At 39.9% G+C, this 22,097-nt stretch overlaps 1 protein-coding gene across 12 annotated transcripts in view; it reads left to right on the top strand.

The window, feature by feature from the left end:
* TM7SF3 (transmembrane 7 superfamily member 3) overlaps window positions 1-22,097 on the top strand; it is a 42,806-nt gene that overhangs the window by 4,530 nt on the left and 16,179 nt on the right. For 5 of the 12 annotated variants that reach the window (XM_047428990.1, XM_017019463.3, XM_047428992.1 and 2 more), the window contains exons 2-6: window positions 6,465-6,619; window positions 10,089-10,329; window positions 12,993-13,113; window positions 14,447-14,618; window positions 19,228-19,405. In XM_047428990.1, coding sequence (XP_047284946.1) covers window positions 6,465-6,619; window positions 10,089-10,329; window positions 12,993-13,113; window positions 14,447-14,618; window positions 19,228-19,405 — 867 coding nt within the window. The remainder of the gene's footprint in view (window positions 1-6,464; window positions 6,620-10,088; window positions 10,330-12,992; window positions 13,114-14,446; window positions 14,619-19,227; window positions 19,406-22,097) is intronic. The other 7 variants (XM_047428995.1, XM_047428994.1, XM_047428993.1 and 4 more) reach the window with 3 other exon arrangements.

Raw genomic sequence — 22,097 nt, 5'->3', positions numbered from 1 at the left:
CTGGGAAAAAAATACATATTTATCCTTTGCTTGTTTATCAAACACTATGTTAGGAGTTCTCAAACCCAGCTAAACATTAGAATTACATGGAGAACTTTTTATAAAAGATATATTGGTGAAGAGACAGCTAGAAATAGACATTTAAAAGAAAAAGCAGGGTCGGGTGCTGTGGTTCCGTCTGTAATCCCAGCACTTTGGAAGACTGAGTGGGGGAGGATCTCTTGGGGCCAAGAGTTCAAGACCAGTCTGATCAATATAGCAAGACCTCATCTCTACAAAACGTTAAGAAATAAAATTAAAGAAAAGAAAAAGTACATTTAAAATAGCCTCAAGAAACATTACGTATTCTGGGATGATAATCATGGGATATGTAAAGACCTCTACAGAGAAAATAACATAATACATCTCAACATTCTTTAGATAAATTGAGAAACTAAAGAAATAGAGGAATATCGGAAATTCATAGATTACAAAATTCTAAAGATAAAGATATTTTAAAGGTATCATTTCTTCCTAAATTAATGTATATATTCAGGGCCATCCCAATCAAAATCCCAGCAGGTTTTTTTGTGTGTGTGTGGATATTGACAGGCTGATTTCTAAAACTTATATGGAAATGTAAAGGATCAGAAATAGTCAAGATAAATTTGAGGAGGAAGAACAAATTTGGAGCAGGAGTTAAGAGAGTTGTAATATTTGTGTTAGGATTGGTGTCTATAGCTAGACAAATAAGCCAGTAGAATGCAATTGAGACTCTAGAAGCAAACACATATGTTCACTTGACTTATGTGAAAGGTGGAACTGCAAAGCAGTAGGGTGGGGAGATGGTGGTATTTTTAAATTATTTTATTTGTATAAACTTATGGAGCACAAGTGTAGGTACAGGATATATTGTGCAGTGAAGTCAGGGCTTTTAGTGTATCCATCACTGGAATTATGTACATTGTACTCATTAAGTAATTTCTCATCTTCAGGCCCCCTCCCACCTTCCTCAGTCTTCAATGTCTATCAGTCCACAGTGTAGGCCCATGTGTACACATTACATAGCTCCCATTTATAAGTGAGAGAACATGGGGTACTACAGGGTGGTATTTTTAGTGAAGGTTGCTGTCAAGTAGATGAACATATGAAACAATGAACTGTGACCTCTATCTTACACCATGTGTAAAAATCAGCATCAGCTTGATTTTTAGCTCTAAATGTGAAAGATAAAACAAACTTCTGGAAGTTAACATGGGAATGTATCTTCATGATCTTGGTATATGTTGACAAAGATTTCTTTAAAATGACACAAAAGGGACTAATCATAAAGGAAAAACCTGAAATTGACTGCTAAAATGAAAACTGTTAATCTAAAGGTAACAGAGTGAAAAGACAAGCAACAAGAGTGGGAGAATATATTCGCAACGTATCTGTCAGAATACTCATATCTATGATGTATTAAAAACTCCTAAAATTGAAGAAGGACAGTTCCATTTTTAATATGTGTAAAAGACTCGAACAGACTGTTTCACAAAGAGGATATCCAAATAGCAAATAAGCAAAGCAAAGGTTTCTTAACACCCATGAGTAATTAGGGAAGTGCGAATTAAAATCACAATGAGATACCACTATATACTCAGCAGATAAATGAATGATACCAGGTGTTGGTGAGACTTCTGGGCAATTGGAACACTTTCCTACAGTAAGTTGATGCGGTATACATTGGCAAAACATTGTTGGAAGACTGGCAGTATCTACTGAAGATGAGAATACCCTATTACCTGATAATTCTACTCACAGGTTCCACCCAACAAAAATGTGTATATGCGTGTACCAAAAGACATGCACAGAAAATGTTTAGAGTTATTTATAACTCTAAACCAGAAATACAGATGTTTATTAACAGTAGAACAGATAATTGTGGCATGTTATTTCATGAAGTATACAATTATGGTAATGAGTTATAGCTACCTATAGCAGCTGGAATGAATTGCACAAACATAATGCTGATTTTAAAGAAGCCAAACACACAAAAATTGTGCTGTAAATTCTATTCAATTGAATTCGTCCAAATAAATTCCTAGTGTTTGAACTTAGGACCCTATTTCCCTCTGGGGAGGAAAGAAGATGTGATTGGGAGGGGCCACAGGGGGACCACTAAGATGCTAGAATGCTGTTTAGGTGCTGGTTAATTCATGGGTGTGTAAACTTTCTGTATTTCTCTGCATAGTATTTAATGGATATTTGTTTTTTAATTGATACCTGGACCTTAGCCCCAGGGATTTTGATTTAACTCATCTGGAGAGGGTCCCAGGCAGCAGTGTTCTGTTTTTTTTTTAATCCCCTCCAGATGATTGTAATGGATAGCCAGGGTGTATAATCACTGTATTATAATTTCTTATGAAAAGGACACCTTATGGTCACTATAGAAATTTAAGAAATAAAGAAATGTGTAATGAAAAGAAAAAAAATCACTTAAAATACACCCCCAGAGATACTTCCTCTTAATACCCCTACCTATTTTGTCAAGTGACCAGGTTTTACATAATGTATACAGTGTCCCTCCCTTTTATTTCCTGGCTTCTGCCTGGTTCGCACTGTAGGCATTTGAGGAAAGGAAGATGATGAGGCATCATTTTCCTGTAGCTTTTGGGAAATCCAGGAAATAACAGATGAAAGTTGTAATTATTCCTGAAATTCAGGTATATTTCTTGAAGAAGAATTCAGAAGCAAAGACTGCAGATTAATTTTTGGTCCTAATCATTGTGTATTCTCACATGGTCTATTTGTTTTTATTTCTGGATATCTTAGACTAGAACAAGACTTTTTAGGTACAGTTTAACCATTTAAGGTCAAAGGTCATCTGTTACACTGTCACAGCAAAAACTCTCTCAAATAGATTTATTGCCTGACACATACGCTTTCTGGAATAGTCTTCCACAAAATCAGAACTATTTTATTTCTTATTAATTTATTATTCATGCTATAATGGTAACAGCCTAGATGTTCATTAATAGGAGATTGGGTGAATAATTATGGTACATACCCAGAATGGAATACTCTGTAGCTTTTAAAATGGTAAAGCTAGCATTATCTGTGTTGCTATGGAAAGATATATAAGACCTGTTAAATGGGCAATATCAAACATATTTATATCTTTTTCCATCTATGCGGAAATATGCATGCTTATATCTGCCTAAGCCCTAAAAGATATATCCCAACTGTTAGCAGTGGTGATTTCTGTACATTGTACTTGCTGGAGGAGTTGACTTTCTGTTTATTTAGCACCTTTTATAAGGATTATATATTTTCTAGAAAAATATTACCATTTTAAGGGAAAGCAAAACAGTGACAGAATGTTGAGAGAATGTCCCATTTTGTCCCTTTTTTTTTCTAGTGTGTGTTCCTATTTTATAAACATTTAAAATGTAGAGTTGGCCTGGCGTGGTGGCTCATGCTTGTAATCCCAACACTTTGGGAGGCCCAGGTGGGCGGATCACGAGGTCAAGAGATTGAGACCAGCCTGGCCAACATAGTGAAACCCAGTCCCTACTAAAAATACAAAAAATTAGCCGAGCGTGGTGGCACATGCCTGTAATCCCAGGTACTCAGGAGGTTGAGGCAGGAGAATTGCTTGAACCTGGAGGTGGAGATTTCAGTGAGCTAAGATTGCGCCACTGCACTCCAGCCTGGCGACAGAGCAAGACTCTGTCTCAAAAAAAAAAAAAAAAAGAAAAAGAAAAAGAAGGACAAGTGTAAAAAAAAGAAAAATCAGCCGGGCAGGGTAGCTCATGCTTGTAATCCCAGCACTTTGGGAGGCTGAGATGGGCGGATCGCTTGAGGTCAGGAGTTCGAGACTAGCCTGGCCAACATAGTGAAACCCCGTCTCTACTAAAAATACAAAAATTAGCCAGGCGTGGTGGCACATGCCTGTAATCCCAGGTACTCAGGAGGTTGAGGCAGGAGAATTGCTTGAACCTGGAGGTGGAAATTTCAGTGAGCTAAGATTGCGCCACTGCACTCCACCTAGGTGTCAGAGTGAGACTCCATCTCAAAAAAAAAAAAAAATCAGTTAAAATATACTCCAAGAGATACCTGCTTTTAATACCCCCCTACTTATTTTGTCAAGTCATCAGTTGTTTAACAATGTATTTTAGTTTCCATGGTTCTGTGTTTCCGTACTGTCTTTCCAAAGTTTTGTTTCTCCAAGTATTTTTGAGTTGTGATTCATCCTCATCCTGGGTGATAGGTTAAGGGAAGGTTAAGAAAAGTTTACCATGAAGGCTTCTCTAGTTGATGGCTTCAGTCTCTTCCAGGGCTTTTAAAGGTTCTGTATACTGTTCTGATGGAAGGCTCATGTCATGGGAGATAGACATGAGGATTATTAGAACATTTTCTAAAATAATATCAAAGGGCAAATTTAAGTGATAATTACAGAAGCCTTGGATAACCTTTATGAATTTGTTTGTGTCAGTTTTGATCATGGTGCCCAACAACTAGAGTGCCTAGTCCATGAGTACCTTATAAATATTGCCAAATAGGGAAAATGAGAACAAAAAGGAAAAACTGAAGATGTAGACTAGAAAAGGCAGGATAGTAAGTGAGTTGAATGCTGTGAACAGTGAAAGGATAGAAATCTGATTAATTTCTAGGAAAGCAGACTGATACTGCCAATACGGGTGGGAATTTTTAAGACTTGGAGGATGCATGATGGATGGGACCAAACTTGAAGGGCAATAAATGAAACATTTTTAGTGTAATTTACTGAAATCCATATAGTTTTATGTATAATTTGCTTTTCTAATAAAATAATCATGATAATGGGAAGGCCTGGAAAATATAAACATGTTTTTCTTGTTTCTTTTTAAAAAGAAAAAACACGTGCACACAAACTTTTTCCAGACTTCCCTACCCAGATTCTATTGGCCATTCCTTAATATTTTAACCTCTGTTCCAGCTGGAGTTTGGTCCATTTAAAATGTAAAATGTCTTTCTGGTACCATAAATAGGAAATATGCTATCTTCATTTGTCATTGTTAAAACTATTACAATTTTCTCTAGAGTTTTAGAAATGAAATTGTAACGTTTTATTCTATCATTTTTTTAAAAAAACATTAAGTTATGAATGTAATGTAGCATCACAGAGCTTAGGGAAAATATATAGAGGTTAAGATTATTCTAGTCTTAACACTATTTGTGTCTTTTTTTTGGCTGTTCTTCCACAGGCTACTCATTCTTGATTTTTTTGGTTCTGTTTGGTTTTAAATCATCCAGTGGAGCTTTCGTATTAAAAAAAAAAGTGTTGAAAATTGACCTTTTTGGGACATGGTATATAAGAATGTGTTATTAAGTTATTTAGTATCTGAAATGTTTTACCGCCCACTGACTCTAATTACCTTCTAAAATAAAACATGACAGTTCCACTATGGGACTCGGGTGAATTATAATCTTTTTTCATCAATTCCTTTTCATCTATATTTAATCTAAATCTTTTGTCTGTTTGTTTAGAATTGAACCCCCAAGACTGCTTATGTGAAACTTGGGATCTTTTCTGCTGTTCATGCAGACAGATACTGACTGTAGGATGGGGGGTGGGGTAGGAATCCAGGACCGCACAGGAGTAAAAGCAACCTAATTAAAGGATTATTTGAGAGTTAGATTGAAAAAAGATGAGCTGGTGTGCAGCTGGCAGAAACACATCACAGAGAAGTGGGGACAGAGTCAGTGAGATGCAGACCATGGAGGCAAGTAGACAGATGGGACAGGCCTGGAGGAGGTGTTGAAAAACTGTTCTTGTTATAACCTATCTTTTTTATGGACTCAGTTTGATCCTTAAGCAAACAAAAGCTCTCTTTTCCAGAATGCCTGTGGTTCACAATTTTATGTGCAGTGCCTGGTGTGGGTGCTCATTGGACATTTTTGTCAGTATTGATTTCACCTTCCTTTGCAGTCTCCATTAGACAGATGAGGAAATTGAGGCTTAAGGGGATTTAAGGAACGTGCCTAAAATCACACAGCTGGTAAACACCGGTATTAAATTGCAGCCACCTGTGTCTCTTCGGGCTACGCTGACTTCAGAATTCACTAGACGGTTATGGTTCTTTAACACCAGCACATTCATGATTGTTAGTAGCCCCACAGGATTGTCATCTTTAAATTCAGGGACTCTGTTCCAGAGATCATTGTTATTGCTGCTACCAGAGGGGAAGTTTCTCTGGGTTCCAGGAGCCTGTCTTCAGCATACCTTTTGAAATACCTCTTGCATTTTAGTTCTGAGCTCTACCATTCACTGGCTGGATGACCCTGGATGGGCTGCATCACTTTTTAAGCCACATTGTCTTTAGCAGTGAAATAGGAGCAATAACCATATTTACCTCAAGGAGTTTTTCTGAGGATTAAATTCCACATTCATTTATGAATATGATTTCTGCAAATTGATATGAGAGTACAAGTGTTGTAATGAAAAGTTTATCTCGTTGTAGGTCTTATTGAATTTTCTGTGGGGAAATTTAGATACTTCGAGCTCAATAGGCCCTTTCCAGAGGAAGCTATTTTGCATGATATTTCAAGCAATGTGACTTTTCTTATTTTCCAAATACACTCACAGTATCAGAATACAACTGTTTCCTTTTCTCCGGTAAGTGCAAAGAATTATTTTAGTAAAAATCATTTCTATATTTTGGGGGTCTGGTATTTAGTATGAGCATTAGAATTTGATATCTCTATCTCTTTTATGTTTATGATCTTATGTCTTAAATTTTAAAAAATCAAGATAGGATGTTTTCAAGTTAGTGACTGAGAGTATCTCAGGCCTTTCTTGAGTGTGGCAGTCTCTGACCTAAAAAGGGGTAATGGAGAGCTGAGCTGGGGAGAAGGGCACCCTGTGACAAATGTCACCACTATGCAGGCAAGTTTTCTTCGTGAATTCCCACCTTTTCATTTTCTTACTTTAGTGGGGCCTTAATAACTTTTACCTGAGAATATATGTTTAATGGGTTTTCATTGTTGTTTAGCTATAGTATTGAACTTTACCAAGAACCCTATAATATCAACTTTATTCTTTGGACTCTGTCACGCAAACAACAAAAAAATTATAGTGCTCAGTTCATCCAGCCCTGTGCTATGCCTCCAGCAGTATTAAGGACTCTATTATAGATGTCATCACTAAACCCCTTAACCTCAACCTCAGCCTTAGAAAGTTTTTAAAATTCTCTGGGTTAGTTTAAGCTATGAAGAGTCTGCCATTTATATAATCTTTTACAATCTATCTGCATTTAGTCTCTATGATGCCCTAGACCAATACATGCATTTCACCTTGTATGAAGTTATACTTCTTTTTATTTGTCCTAAGCCTATATTATAATATTCTGGAATTTGGTAAACAATTCTGTCTTAATCTAATTCATATGTAAATTTTTAAAATTTTTATTTTTTTTTTTAGAGATAAGATCTCACTCCATCACCCACGCCGGAATGTGGTCGTGTGATCATGGCTCAAATTCCTGGTCTTAAGTGATCCTGGAACTACAGGCACATGTCACCACACTTGGCTAATTTTTAACATTTTTTTTTTGTAGAGATGGGGTTTTGCTCTGTTGCCCAGGCTGGTCTTGAACTCCTGGCCTCAAGTGATCCGCCTGTCTGGGCATCCCAAAGTGCTGGGATTGCAGGCATGAGCCACTGCGCCCCAGCCCATATATAATATTAGAGGCATTGGTCACACTATCTTTCTTACTATTTTGTGTATTTTTATTCCTGCCTTCTTTCCCCTACCATAGAGGTTTGGAAATTGTGTGCATGTGGTTGTGCACGTGTGTGCGTGTGTGTTGTGGGGTATGTGTGTAGGGGGGTAGTTAATAGACTAGAAATGGAAGAATTCAGCTTAGGAAAAAAGGAAAGGAATAAATAGTATTAATTACAAGAGATACCGATGTCACACATACGTCGAATTTGCCCAAGTTCTTTGCAGCTAAAGCAGAAGGTAAAGCATGTTAAATTTCATAACTTCCTTAGAAAGGAAGGAGCATGCCAGTTCCTCAGGGGAGGCCAAGTTTTTTATGGCACTGAATTCAAAAGACAGCTTCCTATTCAGACTCTTACATAGGAGACTTAGTAAAATGGCACATAGATGAGTTCTTTCTTCTTCTCTTTTTTAACTAGATCTATTAAAACAATTTTTAATTGACAAACAGTGTGTTTCTTCCTAATGACATTACAGCAAGACAACATTTGAAGGAAAAGAGAGAGGATGGGTGAAATAAGGGTTTATATTTGTTGAACGCCTGCTATGTCCTAGGCCAGTGGTTCTTAAGCTCCTGGAGCCATAGACTGCTCAAGTCTATGGACTCAAATATAAATATAAAATTTCATGGGGCCCTTCAAAAACTCAGACTCTCAGGCCCCCAGTTAGGAACCCCTGTGTTTGGTTTCCATATGGTTAATTCTCATTAAAGCTCAACAAATTAGTAGTGATGCCTATTTCTACATCTGAGGAAGCAGAACTTGGATAAAGAGATGTCAGCATCACCAGTGATAAAACAGACCTAGCTGGCAGCATCTTGGGCCTTGATTTCTATGCAGAAAGGGTCTTAGTTGTCCTTAATTATCATTTTATTTCTTGGACTGCCTTTAGTTCCCACTGTTATATTACTTAGAAGATGATGGCCAGAACTGCACATGGCTCAGGAAGTGAGTGGTCTGTGTAAAGAGAAGTGCTTCTGTTTCCTGTGCCCTTCCTAATAAAGTGTGGCACTTTTGTTTTTTTTGAGTCGTGATGGCAATTGGCTCTTTGAAACTGTTGACTTGATCATTTATCAATTAATATTTGAGTCATTCTTTCTTATGCTTATCAAATTGAAACTACTCTGCTACCTTTTCCTTCCCATTTCCTTAGCTTTGATAGAACCTCTTGAGTCTGTTACCTTTTAGCTTAGCATTTTATTATTCAAAAAACTTTCCAAGCAGATGGGAGTGGGGGATGGTAGAGAGGAAGTGTGTGAGGAAGGATTAGGAAGGGGCACAAGGAAACTTGGGGTGATGCATACATTTGCTATTTTGATTGTGGTAATGGTTTCACAGGTGTCTGTATATCAACACTTAAAAGTATACTTTATGGGCCGGGCACGGTGGCTCACGCCTGTAATCCCAGCACTTTGGGAGGCTGATGCTGGCGGATCACGAGGTCAGGAGATCAAGACCATCCTGGCTAACATGGTGAAACCTCGTCTCTACTAAAAGTACAAAAAATTAGCCAGGTGTGGTGGCAGGCGCCTGTAGTCCCAGCTACTTGGGAGGCTGAGACAGGAGAATGGCGTGAACCCGGGAGGCGGAGCTTGTAGTAAGCTGAGATCGCGCCACTGCACTCTAGCCTGGGTGACAGAGCGAGACTCCATCTCAAAAAAAAAGAAAAATTATACTTTATGTACAGTTTATAGTTTGTCAGTTATAACACAATTTAAAAGGTACCTCGAAAACTGAACTCCTTGGGGCCAGGTCTCATGTTTTTGTCCTAGTGGTCTTAGAAACTAAGATAAAACATTATTTGACATAGTAAATCTTAATTCAAATTAATTGAAACACTTGGGAATTTCACTGTGCATCTGCTATTCCTGATCAAAGATTATTTTTACAGACAGAATGTTTGTGTCTTCACAAAATTCACAGTTGAAATACTCATCCTCAGTGTGTTATATTAGGAAGTGGAGTCTTTGGGAAGTGATTAGGTCATGGGCCCCCATTTAGAGCCCTCATGAATGGGATTAGTGGCCTTATAAAAGGGACCCCAGATATGTTTCTTGCCCTTTCTCTGTCATGTGAGGATACAACAAGAAGTTGGGAGTCTTCAGCCTATAAGACAGCTTTCATCAGAACCCGACTGTGTTGGCACCGCTATCATGAACCACCAGACTCTAGAATTGCGAAAATAAATTTCTGTTGTTTATAACCACCTTACCTGTGGTACTTTGTTATAGCAGCCTTAACTAAGACAATCGTATATTTTTCAAGAATGCTTTTTCCATGTATATGTGTGGGCATGTGAACATAGAGATGAAAAGAATTCCCTGGTTATTTAAGGAAGGTTTTTTTTTTCTATTTGTTTTGGGAAGATTTGGAATAGGACATGCACACTGGATCAGCTCAGTAATTTATGTTTTGGTCGACTTCCTATTCATGACAATGTTTCTTCTGGACTGCAGACTCTCCTTTCCAATTCCTCGGAAACAGGCACTGCCAGTGGACTGGTTTTCATCCTTAGACCAGAGCAGAGTACATGCACTTGGTACTTGGGGACTTCAGGCATACAGCCTGTCCAGAATATGGCTATCCTACTCTCCTACTCAGAAAGAGGTAACCCTTCTGTCTTCTCCTCCCTCTTACTCTTTGGAATATGGAATGTGTTCATGAAACTTTAAGGAAAATTATCCTATTGAGATTGTTTGTTGCAAGTATAATTTATATAATCGGATTTTTTTTTTTTGAGATGGAGTCTCGCACTGTCACCCAGGCTGGAGTGTAGTGGCGCGATCTCGGCTCACTGCAACCTCTGCCTCCCGGGTTCAAGCGATTCTCCTGCCTCAGCCTCCCAAGTAGCTGGGATTACAGGCGCCCGCCACCAGGCCCAGCTAATTTTTTGTATTTTTAGTAGAGATGGCGTTTCACCATGTTGGCCAGGCTGGTCTCGAACTCCTGACCTTGTGATTCGCCCGCCTCAGCCTCCCAAAGTGCTGGGATTGCAGGCATGAGCCACTGCGCCCAGCCTATAATCAGAAATATTTTATAGTAAGAGAATTAGCACGATGACTGAAAGCTCAGGTAGTGACTAGGAGAACATGTTTATTCATTCGAAAAACATTTAGGGAGCCCTTGGAGAAGCAGTAATAGTTAAGGCAAGACATAGTCCTTAACAGTTTAGTTGTTCTAAGCAGAAGCAGTAAGCTCGACGTCATGAAGAAAAATGATTTGGAGAATGGCACGTTGTGAGTGTGGCTGCAGCTGGAGTGTGGAGGGCCTTGCATACAATTTGAGGTTTGTACTTTATTTCGAGGTAGGTTCTAAGGAGGCATAGAGTTTTTAAGCAGAGGAATGGTGTAGTCCATTTCATCTCTTAGAAAGCTAACTCTAGAAGTAGTGTGGGGATGGATTGGAGAGGGCGCAGCAGAGTCAGGACTCAGCACAAAATGAGAAATGAGGATCTGAACAGAGGCCATGAGAGGCGGGATGGAGAAGAGGAGCAGGATTTGAGATATCCAGAAGGTGGAATTGATACAACACAATGACTGGTGGTTATGGAGTATAAGAGGGAAGCATAGGTTTCCTATTTGGGCAGCAGGGAAATAGTGATACAAAATAGGTGTAGGAACAGGGTTATGGTGGTGCTGGATGTTTTGGGAGGTGGGACGGAGTAGGTGATGACTTCAGTTTGGGACACAGTCTGAGATGCTTGTAGGACATTTGGATGGAAATGCAGAGTACATAATTTAAATAAGGGCCTGGAGTGGAGGGGTGAGATTAGATTCCCAACTAAATAGCTGTTAATAAAAGCTGTGGCAGTGAGTGAGATTATCCAGGCATGTACTTGGATATTTAGGGCAAAAAAATCATAGCAAATACTTTACTAGTGCCTACTATGTGTCAGGCACTGTTTCTGGTGGATAATAACTCCTGAGGAATAAGCACAACACTGTGGAGTAGTCAAGAAGGTAGGAAGAAAGCCTGGAGTTTCTGCCTTTAAAAGGGAGCAGGCCGGGCACGGTGGCTCACACCTGTAATCCCAGCACTTTGGGAGGCCGAAGCAGGTTGCAGGTATAATTTATATAATCGGGAGTTTGAGACTAGCCTGGCCAACATGGCGAAACTCTATCTCTACTAAAAATACAAAAATTAGTCAGGTGTGGTGGCAGGTGCCTACAATCCCAGGTACTCAGGAGGCTGCGGCAGGAGAATTGCTTGAACCCGGTGGGCAGAGGTTGCAGTGAGCTGAGATTGCGCCACTTCACTCCAGCTTGGGTGATAGAGCAAGACTCCGTCTCAAAAAAAAAAAAAAAAAAAAGGAAGTGGTAAGTTACAGTCTACGGAGAGGTCAAGAGAACTGACTGAAAGTGTCCGTATGCTAGAGCAAGTAGGAGTCAGCGGTGGCCCTTTATGAGAGTCACTTTAGTGGCACAACAGGGATGGAGGAGTGAAGGTGAGGTGAATAAATTTAGACTACTCTTAAAGCTTGGGGGTAAAGGGAAGGAGAGGGAGCGCTAGTTAGGAAAGGAGGGAGAATCCAGAAGATTACTGGAGTAGAAGATAGGAAATGTTAGCTATAACAAAAGGCTAATTACCTGATAAGAAACCATAGACTTAATTAAGGCTTGCGTCAAGGACAGTGTACAAAGAAAAATTATGAACAGAGGAGCTTCAGCTGGCATACATACCATTTGTGGTGTGGTAAAGATCCATAAGTGCAGAAAAAGGAGAGTATGAAAGAAGAGCATAGAATTTGGAGGAAGATTCCAACATGATATTGAAACATATATACACACTGTGTATCTGCATTCCAAACCTGGCCAGAAGTAGTCAACCAATAGCCGATCTTTTTAACTCTAGAGGAAAGGTTGGCAAACTACAGACCATGAGCCAGATCCAGCTTGCTGCCTGTTTTTGTACATAAAGTTTTACTGAAACACAGCTATGCCTCTTCCTGTACGTATTGCCTGTGGCTGCTTTCCTGCCACAAGGACTGGGGTGGGTAGTTACTGCAGAGACCATCAGACTGACAAAGCCTAAAATACTATTAGGCCTTTTACAGAAAATTTTGGCTCTGCCCTGCTCTAGGGCCCTGAACCTCAGTTAACTCTACCCTCTTTAACCTCAGTTCATGAAATAGTATACGACTAGAAGCTCTACGTTTATATTTAACTTCTATTTGGGAAGTTTTTGTAAGAGTAGATAGAGTTCTGTTTTTCTGAGTATGATTTGGATATGTAGGAATTGTTTGTTTAGTAACTTCCCTATTTCTTATCCAGATCCTGTCCCTGGAGGCTGTAATTTGGAGTTCGATTTAGATATTGATCCCAACATTTACTTGGAGTATAATTTCTTTGAAACGACTATCAAGTTTGCCCCAGCAAACCTAGGCTATGCGAGGTACGTCTGTCTCCCATGTCTGAGAAATGCTTTTAGAATATACATGACGACAGTTGTGTAGATTTGACCAGCTCTCTCAAGTCCCTAATTCTCTGTAGTAAAATTGAGTTAATTTTTGGGGGGAATTGATGTAATTTAAACTTCACTATTAATATTTGGACTGTCATTTACAGTTAATATTTTCCCACTTCATTCTTGTGAACTCTTTTTATTTGAAGAGCCAGATGTGAGTCTATTATGAGCTTGAAAATACATCCTGGTTTTTATAAAGCACTTTAAATATAGATAGCACTCAGTAGCCCTGAAACATCCTTTTATTTTTATAAAGATTCATTGTTTTAATTAAAGCTGTGCCTCAGTTTCTGCTTTAATAGTAATGATAGCTAACATTTGAGAACACTTGAATGCTTCCTGTGCATTGTCCGTGGTGCTGAGTGTTGTTATGTTCTTTGCCATTTAATCCTAACAATTTTATGAAGAAGGGCAATTGCTGTTATTTTACAGAAAGTTTCCCTAGGGGTTATGGAGGTTACCCTACTTGCTAACAAATGACAAATCTGCTATATTCTTCTTCTTTTTTTTTTTTTTAAATCAAAGATGAGGTCTTTCTATGTTGCCCTGGCTGGTCTTGAACTTCTTAGCTCAAGCAATCCTCCTGCTTCAGCCTCCCAAAGTGCTGGGATTACAGGCATAAGCCACTGCACCCAGCTTTTTTTTAAAAAAAATTTTTTTGCCTCCCCAGAGCTGTAGTATTTTACTCTAGGCCTGACTGATATCAGAATCCAGTTATGTAATCACCTTTGCCTGTTGGTGTTTGTCTTAGTTTGTGGTGCTGTAACAAAGTAGCACAGACTGGGTGGCTTATAAACTTCTTTCTCATGGTTCTAGAGGGTAGAAGTCCACGATCAGGATGCCAGCACAGTTGAGTTCTGGTGAAGGTTCTCGTCCAGGTTACAGACTGCTGGGTTGTCATTGTGTCCACACATGACAGAAAGAAGGCTAGAGGGCTCTCTGGGATCTCCTTTATGAGGGCAGTAATTCGATTCATTAGGGCTTCACCTTCATGACCTAATTACCTTCCAAAGGTCCCACCTCCTAATATCATCACACTGGGAGTGAGGGTCTCAGCATATTAATTTTGGGGAGACACAAACATTCAGTCCATAACAGTGCATTACTTTTCTTCAGAATACCAATTGTTGCCACTGCAAAAGGTGAACTGTTAAATTGTAATTATTGTTGCAAGTGTTTGAAATTAGGGCTCTTGGTTCCTTTTTATAGATGGGACTTGCACCACAAGAGACTGATGTTTCATTTTGTTGGTTGACTTTAGAGGCGTAGATCCCCCACCATGTGACGCTGGGACAGACCAGGACTCCAGGTGGAGGTTGCAGTATGATGTCTATCAGTATTTTCTGCCTGAGAATGACCTCACTGAGGAGATGTTGCTGAAGCATCTGCAGAGGATGGTCAGTGTGCCCCAGGTGAAGGCCAGTGCTCTCAAGGTAAATCTGAGTCCCATGATTTGTGTGGCTGGATTGTGACACCTTTGTCAGAGTTGAGAAGGGGAGAAGCTACCAGGATCTTATTTCTTTACTCTTTTCTCCTTTTTGGGGGACACTCACTTTATTCTCTTTTGTTATCATCTTGGGAGTCTTTGCTGGTGATATCTCAAAATGATGTTGGCCTTTGAGGAGATGCATGTAAATTATGTTACGTTTTAGTTGCAGCCACATCTGTGACTTGGTAATCTGAAATGTGAATGGAAGGAGGTGGTAATTTTCTGTGTACTCCCACGACTACTGGGTAAACATTTTTGGCAAGTATGAAGATTACATTGTTTTGAGAAAAAAATAATGAGAAACTGCTTAAGGATATACACATTGGCATTCATATTTGAACCCAAACTCAAAGTCTAACTTGGAGTAAAATTCTTCTCTGAGCTTTTGAATCCATGTAAACCCTTGCTCCCCAGGTGTGGACCATGGACCAGTGGCATTGGCATCACTGGGGAGTTTGTGAGAATTGTAATTCTTAAACTCCACCCTGGAACTACTGAATCAGAATTTGCATTTTATATCCCTCAGGTGATTCTGACTGGGTGCAGTGGCTCACGCCTGTAATCCCAGCACTTTGGGAGGCCGAGGCGGGTGGATCACCTGAGGTCAGGAGTTTGAGACCAGCCTGTCCAACATGGTGAAACCGTGTCTCTACTAAAAATACAAAAATTAGCCAGGCATGTTGGTAGATGCCTGTAATACCAGCTACTTGGGAGGCTGAGGCAGGAGAATTGTTTGAACCCAGGAGGTGGAGGTTGCAATGAGCCCAGATGGTGCTGTTGCACTCCAGCCCTCAGGTGATTTTTATGCATATTAAATTTTGAGACTCACTGCAATAGATCATTTTTGTGGAGGGCAGGATTTTATCTTTATGTCTTGAAAAGTGCCTAACAGCAATATAATATATGAGGTCATCCTTCAGTCTAATGGTTGATGGGTGGAGTTTTTCTAGACAGCGTCATTGTGCTTATTCACAAAATAAGAAGCTCTGTTAGTAAAGTTTATTAGTTGCTTTATTAGATATGACATTTTAATACTATTATTATTTTTATGAAGAATATAAGAACTTGTATAATAGGCTTTTTGTAGGTTACTTTTAAACTTTTAGTTAAAAGAATATTTTGTACCAGAATGTGGGGAAACCCTCAAAGACTAATGAGGGTATGTCAAAGAGATTCAGGAGCCTGTTTGAAGGGGCTTGCACTGCCAAATTTGGGGCAGTTCAAGAATCAAGAAAAAGACTGTGGTTGTCAGCCTTGAATAAATACAAATGAAACCTTCCTCAGTTGCCACCACTGGAGGAGACTCTTACAGCAAATTACTCTAAAAATTGATAAAGAAATTTAGCTTGCCTTTTTAAAGGAGGAACTAATTCTTCCCCAGTTGGTGAGAGAAAGCTCTTTGCAGAAGAGTGCTGGCTAATATATGTAGAAGAAATAATAGAATTAGATGATCACCATTTTGTGACCCTCAATGAAATAATTCCAGCAAGGATCAGCAGGTGAAAGGTTTTTGGGGAACAGGATATTTCTAGGGTGTCTAAGTAGCATCCTTAGATTAATTCTCATTGTAAAAGGAGAACCACTTTAACATGGAGTGACCTTATAGTCTCCACCTATTCCAGGTGGGCAAAGCTAGTTTCACTGAAAATGGATCAGCCTGTATTACGTGCTTATGTAGTGCAGTCTGACATTATCACCATCACCTGTGGTATATTCTAGCAAAAAATGTCTAACCTGAATTTAGTCCATTGGATTCCCTATTTACAGGAAATATGGGGGATAAAAGAATAAGTTAGACACAAAATTGTGGAATACTTTATGAGAATACTGACTTCACATCTTCTACAGTCATTGGGTAGCTGGGAGAGAAAGGTGGGACAGACTGCTCTGGATTACTGAGATTGGCCGTAAACACCATGCATGGAACTTGGTTTGATCTTGGGTAAGAAGGAGAAAAGCTAGAAAAGATGTTAGGAGCCAGGAACAGTGGCACACACCTGTAATCCCAGCACTTTGGGAGGCTAAGGAGGGCAGATCACTTGAGCTCAGGAGTTTGAGACCAGCCTGGGCAACGTGGCAAAACCTCACAGCCACTAAAAAAACCAAAAAGTTCCAGGCGTGGTGGTGCGTGCCTGTAGTCCCAGATATTGAGGAGGCTGAGGTGGGAGGATCGCTTGAGCCTGGGAGAAGTTGCAGTAAGCTGAGATCACGCCACTGCACTGTAGCCTGGGCGACAGAGTGAGACCCTGTCTCAAAAAAAAAAAAAAAAAAAAAAGACATTAGGGAAAATCTGGATCATTTATTAGCTAATAAGAAATTATTCATTTTCGTAGGTGAGCTAAGGTATTGTTATATAGGAGAATATTCTTATACAGATGGTCCCTGACTTATGATGGTTTGACTTATGATCTTTTGATTTTAGTTTTGATAATTTCCTGAGCTAGCAATATACAGTATGATACTCTTGCAACGCTGAGCAGTGGCAGTGAGCCATCGCTCCTGCTTAACCACACGGGTAATAGCTAACATTTTACAGTGTACTGTATTCAATAAATTACATAAGCAATTAAACACTTTATTATAAAATAGCATTTGTGGGCCGGACATGGTGGCTCACGCCTGTAATCCCAGCACTTTGGGAGGCCAAGGCGGGAGGATCACAAGGTCAGGAGATCGAGCCCATCCTGGCTAACAGGGTGAAACCCTGTCTCTACTAAAAATACAAAAAATTAGCTGGGCGTAGTGGTGGTGGCGGGCGCCTGTAGTCCCAGCTACTCAGGAGGCTGAGGCAGGAGAATGGCGTGAACCTGGGAGGCAGAGCTTGCAGTGAGCCGAGATGATCGTGCCACTGCACTCCAGCCTGGGCAACAGAGCGACATTCCGTCTCAATAATAATAATAATAATAATAAAAAAATAAAATAGCCTTTGTGTTAGATGATTTTGTTCAACTGAATCTAATGTAAGTGTTCTGAGCACATTTAAGGTAGGCTAGGGTAAAGCCATAATGTTTGGTGGGTGAGGTACATTAAATGCATTTTGACTTTACGATGGGTTTATCCTGATGTAACCCCCTTGTAAGTCTGTACTTAGACTTACATCTGTACTGAGTAACTTGTTACTCAGAGTGTGGTAGGTGTTTGCATAGCATTGGCATCATCTGAGAGCTTTCTAGAAAGGCACAATTGCTAGTACCACGCTGACCTAAGAATCAGATCTACCTTTTAACAAGACTGCCCCCTGCGATTCACAAGCACGTTAAATTTGAGAAACACTGTGGTAGGACATGCACAGTGAAGTGTTTAGAAGTGAAATGTCATGATATCTGTAACTTACTTTCAGCAGGAAAAAAGTAGAGTTGGGGAGAAACTAGTGATAGAGAAGCAAATGTAAAATATTAACAATTGTTGATATTAGGCAGTATATAGTCTATTTATTGTGTTATTCATTCAACTTTTCTGTCTGGTTTAAACTTTTCATTGTAACTTGGGAGTAATATTAACAGTTTGTTGAACTTTACCAGACCTTTGCCCAGGAAGCAAGTTATTGAAGGCTAAGCAGTATTTTTAAACAATGGTAGTCTGATGTAGGAGGGCTCATAATAATTTTCTCCTAAAACCCTAATATTTATTTTTCTCAAATTAGTAGGAACATAGGTATTATGGTTCTATAAAGCATTTGTTTCTTCTATTTTATAGTTTACAATGGAATTTCTGAAGTTAAGAACTACTGGCCGGGCGCGGTGGCTCACGCCTGTAATCCCAGCACTTTGGGAGGCCGAGGCGGGTGGATCATGAGGTCAGGAGATCGAGACCATCCTGGCTAACAAGGTGAAACCCCGTCTCTACTAAAAATACAAAAAATTAGCCGGGCGCGGTGGCGGGCGCCTGTAGTCCCAGCTACTGGGGAGGCTGAGGCAGGAGAATGGCGTGAACCCGGGAAGCGGAGCTTGCAGTGAGCCGAGATTGCGCCACTGCAGTCCGCAGTCCGGCCTGGGCGACAGAGCGAGACTCCGTCTCAAAAAAAAAAAAAAAAAAAAAAGAACTACTACTACATAACAAAACCTCATGTAATATTTTCTTGTTTCAGAGACTGTTAGACAAAAATAAGTGGGTACTGTCTGCGAGATGTTAACAGACTGTCTGCGTTAGTCTGTGGCTAACATTGGACACATCCTCTGTGTTAGGCATTGGGCTGTACACTGAGGAAAGAGCAGTGCACAAGAGAAATACAGTTCCCATCCTTGTTTATAGTCTAGCAGAGGTGAAAAAACTTTTTTCATGGTCGTAACTAGCATTTATACATTGTTTATATCGCATTTTCCTTAAACTATTAAAAAAAACCTTTGGAAGCATTTTGTGTGAGAGCTTGTTTACATTAGCACATACAAACCATGTAAGATGGCCTTTTGACCATATTAAATGGGTTGGTGTATATTTTAAGCAAGAATTATAATTTATGAATATACCATTTAATATTACACGTAGGTGGGATTATCACAGAATAGCTTAAAAAAATCCCCTAAACACTAATCATGTGTTATTTTTGGCTTCAGGTGGTTACCCTAACAGCTAATGATAAGACAAGTGTTTCCTTCTCCTCCCTCCCGGGACAAGGTGTCATATACAATGTCATTGTTTGGGACCCGTTTCTAAATACATCTGCTGCCTACATTCCTGCTCACACATACGCTTGCAGCTTTGAGGCAGGAGAGGGTAGTTGTGCTTCCCTAGGTGAGTATGTGGCTTTAAACTTTTACAAATTCTCCTTTGGCCTTGCAGATAATGCTTTTGTCTAGTTCTCATTCATTCAACACATACCTTTTGAGCCCCTACGTTATTCCACTCTCTGTTCTAGGCACTGGGACATAGCAGTAAACAAAACAGCAAAAATACTTGTTCTGGAGCTTATATTATAGTGAGGGAGATGAGACAGACAAGATAAATTTATAAAATATGTAATACGTGAGAAAATGGTGAGTGCTAAGAAGATAAATAAAGTAGGAAAGGGAGATAACACATGCCAGTAAGAGGAAAATTTGAGATAGATAGCATGGCCAGGGCAGTCCTTGATGCACCACGCACGTACCTGGGTGTGGCATGTACCAGGCAGAGGGAGCAGCCAGGATGAGGGCCTGCACCTGGGAGCCTGTCTGAGGGTGTGAAGAACTGCAGTGATGACAGGGGTTGCAGGAGAACGAGGAGGGCAAAGGAAGTAGAGGTGAGGTGAGAGGTGCAGGGGCAGGCAGCCTGTGTGTGGCCTTGTAGACTGTAGTATGGGATTTTGCTTCTATTCTGAATGAAAGGGAAAGGCATTGGAAGGTTTTGAGCAAATGGTGCCATGATCTAAGATATTTTAATGAGATCACTGGCTGCTTTTTGAGAAAAGACGGAGGCAAGAGCAGAAATGCAGATTGGTTAGGAGGCCACTGAAGTAATCCAGGGGAGAGATAACTAGGTTAGGTAGAATGGGGGCAGTGAAGGTGTTGTGAGGGGTGTGTGTGTGTGTGTGTGTATTTAGCAGTTTATCTTGAAATGGTTTCTCAGAAAATATGCAAAAATAGTATAAAGAATTTCTGTATAATCTTCATCCAGATTCCTCAAAGCTTAATGTATTAGGCTATTTGCTTTTCATTCTCTCTTCTTCTCTCTCTATATGCAATTGACCTTTGAACAGTGTAGGGGTTGTGGGGGAGCCGACTCCTGTGCAGTTGAAAACCTGTGTATAACTCTTTTCTTTTTTTCTGAGACATAGTTTCACTCCTGTTGCCCAATCTGGAGTGCAGTGGCATGATCTTGGCCCACTGCAACCTCTGCCTCCCAGGTTCAAGTGATTCTCCTGCCTCAGCCTCCTGAGTAGCTGGGATTAACAAGCACACACCACCATCCCTGGCTAATTTTTGTATTTTTAGTAGAGTCGGGGTTTCACCATGTTGGCCAGGCTGGTCTCAAACTCCTGGCCTCAAGTGATCCACCCGCCTTGGCCTCCCAAAGTGCTGGGATTACAGGCATAAGCCACCATACCCCACCCGTGTATAACTTTGACTTCCCCAAAATTAACTACTATTAGCCTAGTGTTGACCAGAGAAGCCTTATTGATTACATAAATACTTGATTAACACATATTTTGTATGTTATATTTATCATAGACTATAGTCTTACAATAAAATGAGCTAGAGAAAAGTAAATGTCATTAAGGAAATCATAAGGAAGAGAAAGTATATTTACTATTCATTAAGTGAGAGTGGATCATCATAAAGGCCTTCATCTTCATCGTCTTCACATTGAATAGGAACAGGAGGAGGAAGAGGAGGGGTTGTTGTTGCTGTCTCAGGGGTGGCAGAGGTGGAAGGGGAGGTAGGAGAGGCAGGCACACTCAGTGTGACTTTTACTGAAAAAAAGTCTGTATGTAAGTGGACCCATGCAGTTCAAACCCGTGTTGTTCAGGGGCCGACTGTGTATGTATAGATACGTACACACACACACACACACACACACACACACACACACAATTTTCTTCTCTGAACCATATGAGAGTAAGTTGCAGACATAAAGACCTTTTTGCCATTAAATACTTCTGTATTTATTTCCTTACATAACCATAGTAAAATTATCAAAATTACGAAGCTAACACTGATACAGTAGTTATTTAATTCACACGTTAGCACATTTACTAGTTGTTCCAATAGTGTCCTTTATAAGTAAAAAAAAATTATTTTTGGCTGGGTGCAGTGTCTCACGCCTGTAATCCCAGCACATTGGGAGGTCAAGATGGGCGGATTGCTTGAGCTCCAGAGTTCAAGACCAGCCTGGGCAACATGGCGAAACTCCGTCTCTACAAAAAATACAAAAATTAGCTGGGTGCGGTGGCACATGCCTGTCGTTCCAGCTACTTGGTAGTCTAAGGTGGGAAGATCACCTGAGCCCAGGAAGGTTGAGGCTGCAGTGAGCCGTGATTGTGCTTCTGCACTCCAGCCTGGGCAACAGAGTGAGACCCCGTCTCCCCGTCAACAAATTTTTTTTTCCCCTGTCCAGGGTTCAGTTTAGGATCCCACATTGCATTTAACCGATGTGTCTCTTTATAGTTGTATAATCTGGAACAAGTCTTTTTTTTTTTTTTTAATTTTAATCTTTTAAGACCTTGACTTTTTTGAGAAGTACAGAATATTTATTTTTTTTAGAATGTCTTCAATTTGGGTTACTTTGATATTTCCTCATAATTAAATTTTGATTATGCTTTTTTGGCAGGAATACAAAGGAAGTGATGTGTCCTTCTCAGGAGACACTTGTCTCTTTATTTATTTGTCTCTTTACTGGTGGTGACATCCTTGATGACTTGGTTATTGGTGTCTTGCCAAGTTTCTCCACTGAAGTAACTGTTCCTTTTTTTAAGTGTCTTTAGGGGAGGTACTTCGAGTGTCAGTAA

This window comes from Homo sapiens, chromosome 12 (assembly GCF_000001405.40).
Source record: "Homo sapiens chromosome 12, GRCh38.p14 Primary Assembly".
NCBI classification, from domain to species: domain Eukaryota; kingdom Metazoa; phylum Chordata; class Mammalia; order Primates; family Hominidae; genus Homo; species Homo sapiens.
The sequence above is the reverse complement of the archived record's forward strand: the minus strand, read 5'-3'. Positions and strand labels throughout refer to the sequence as shown.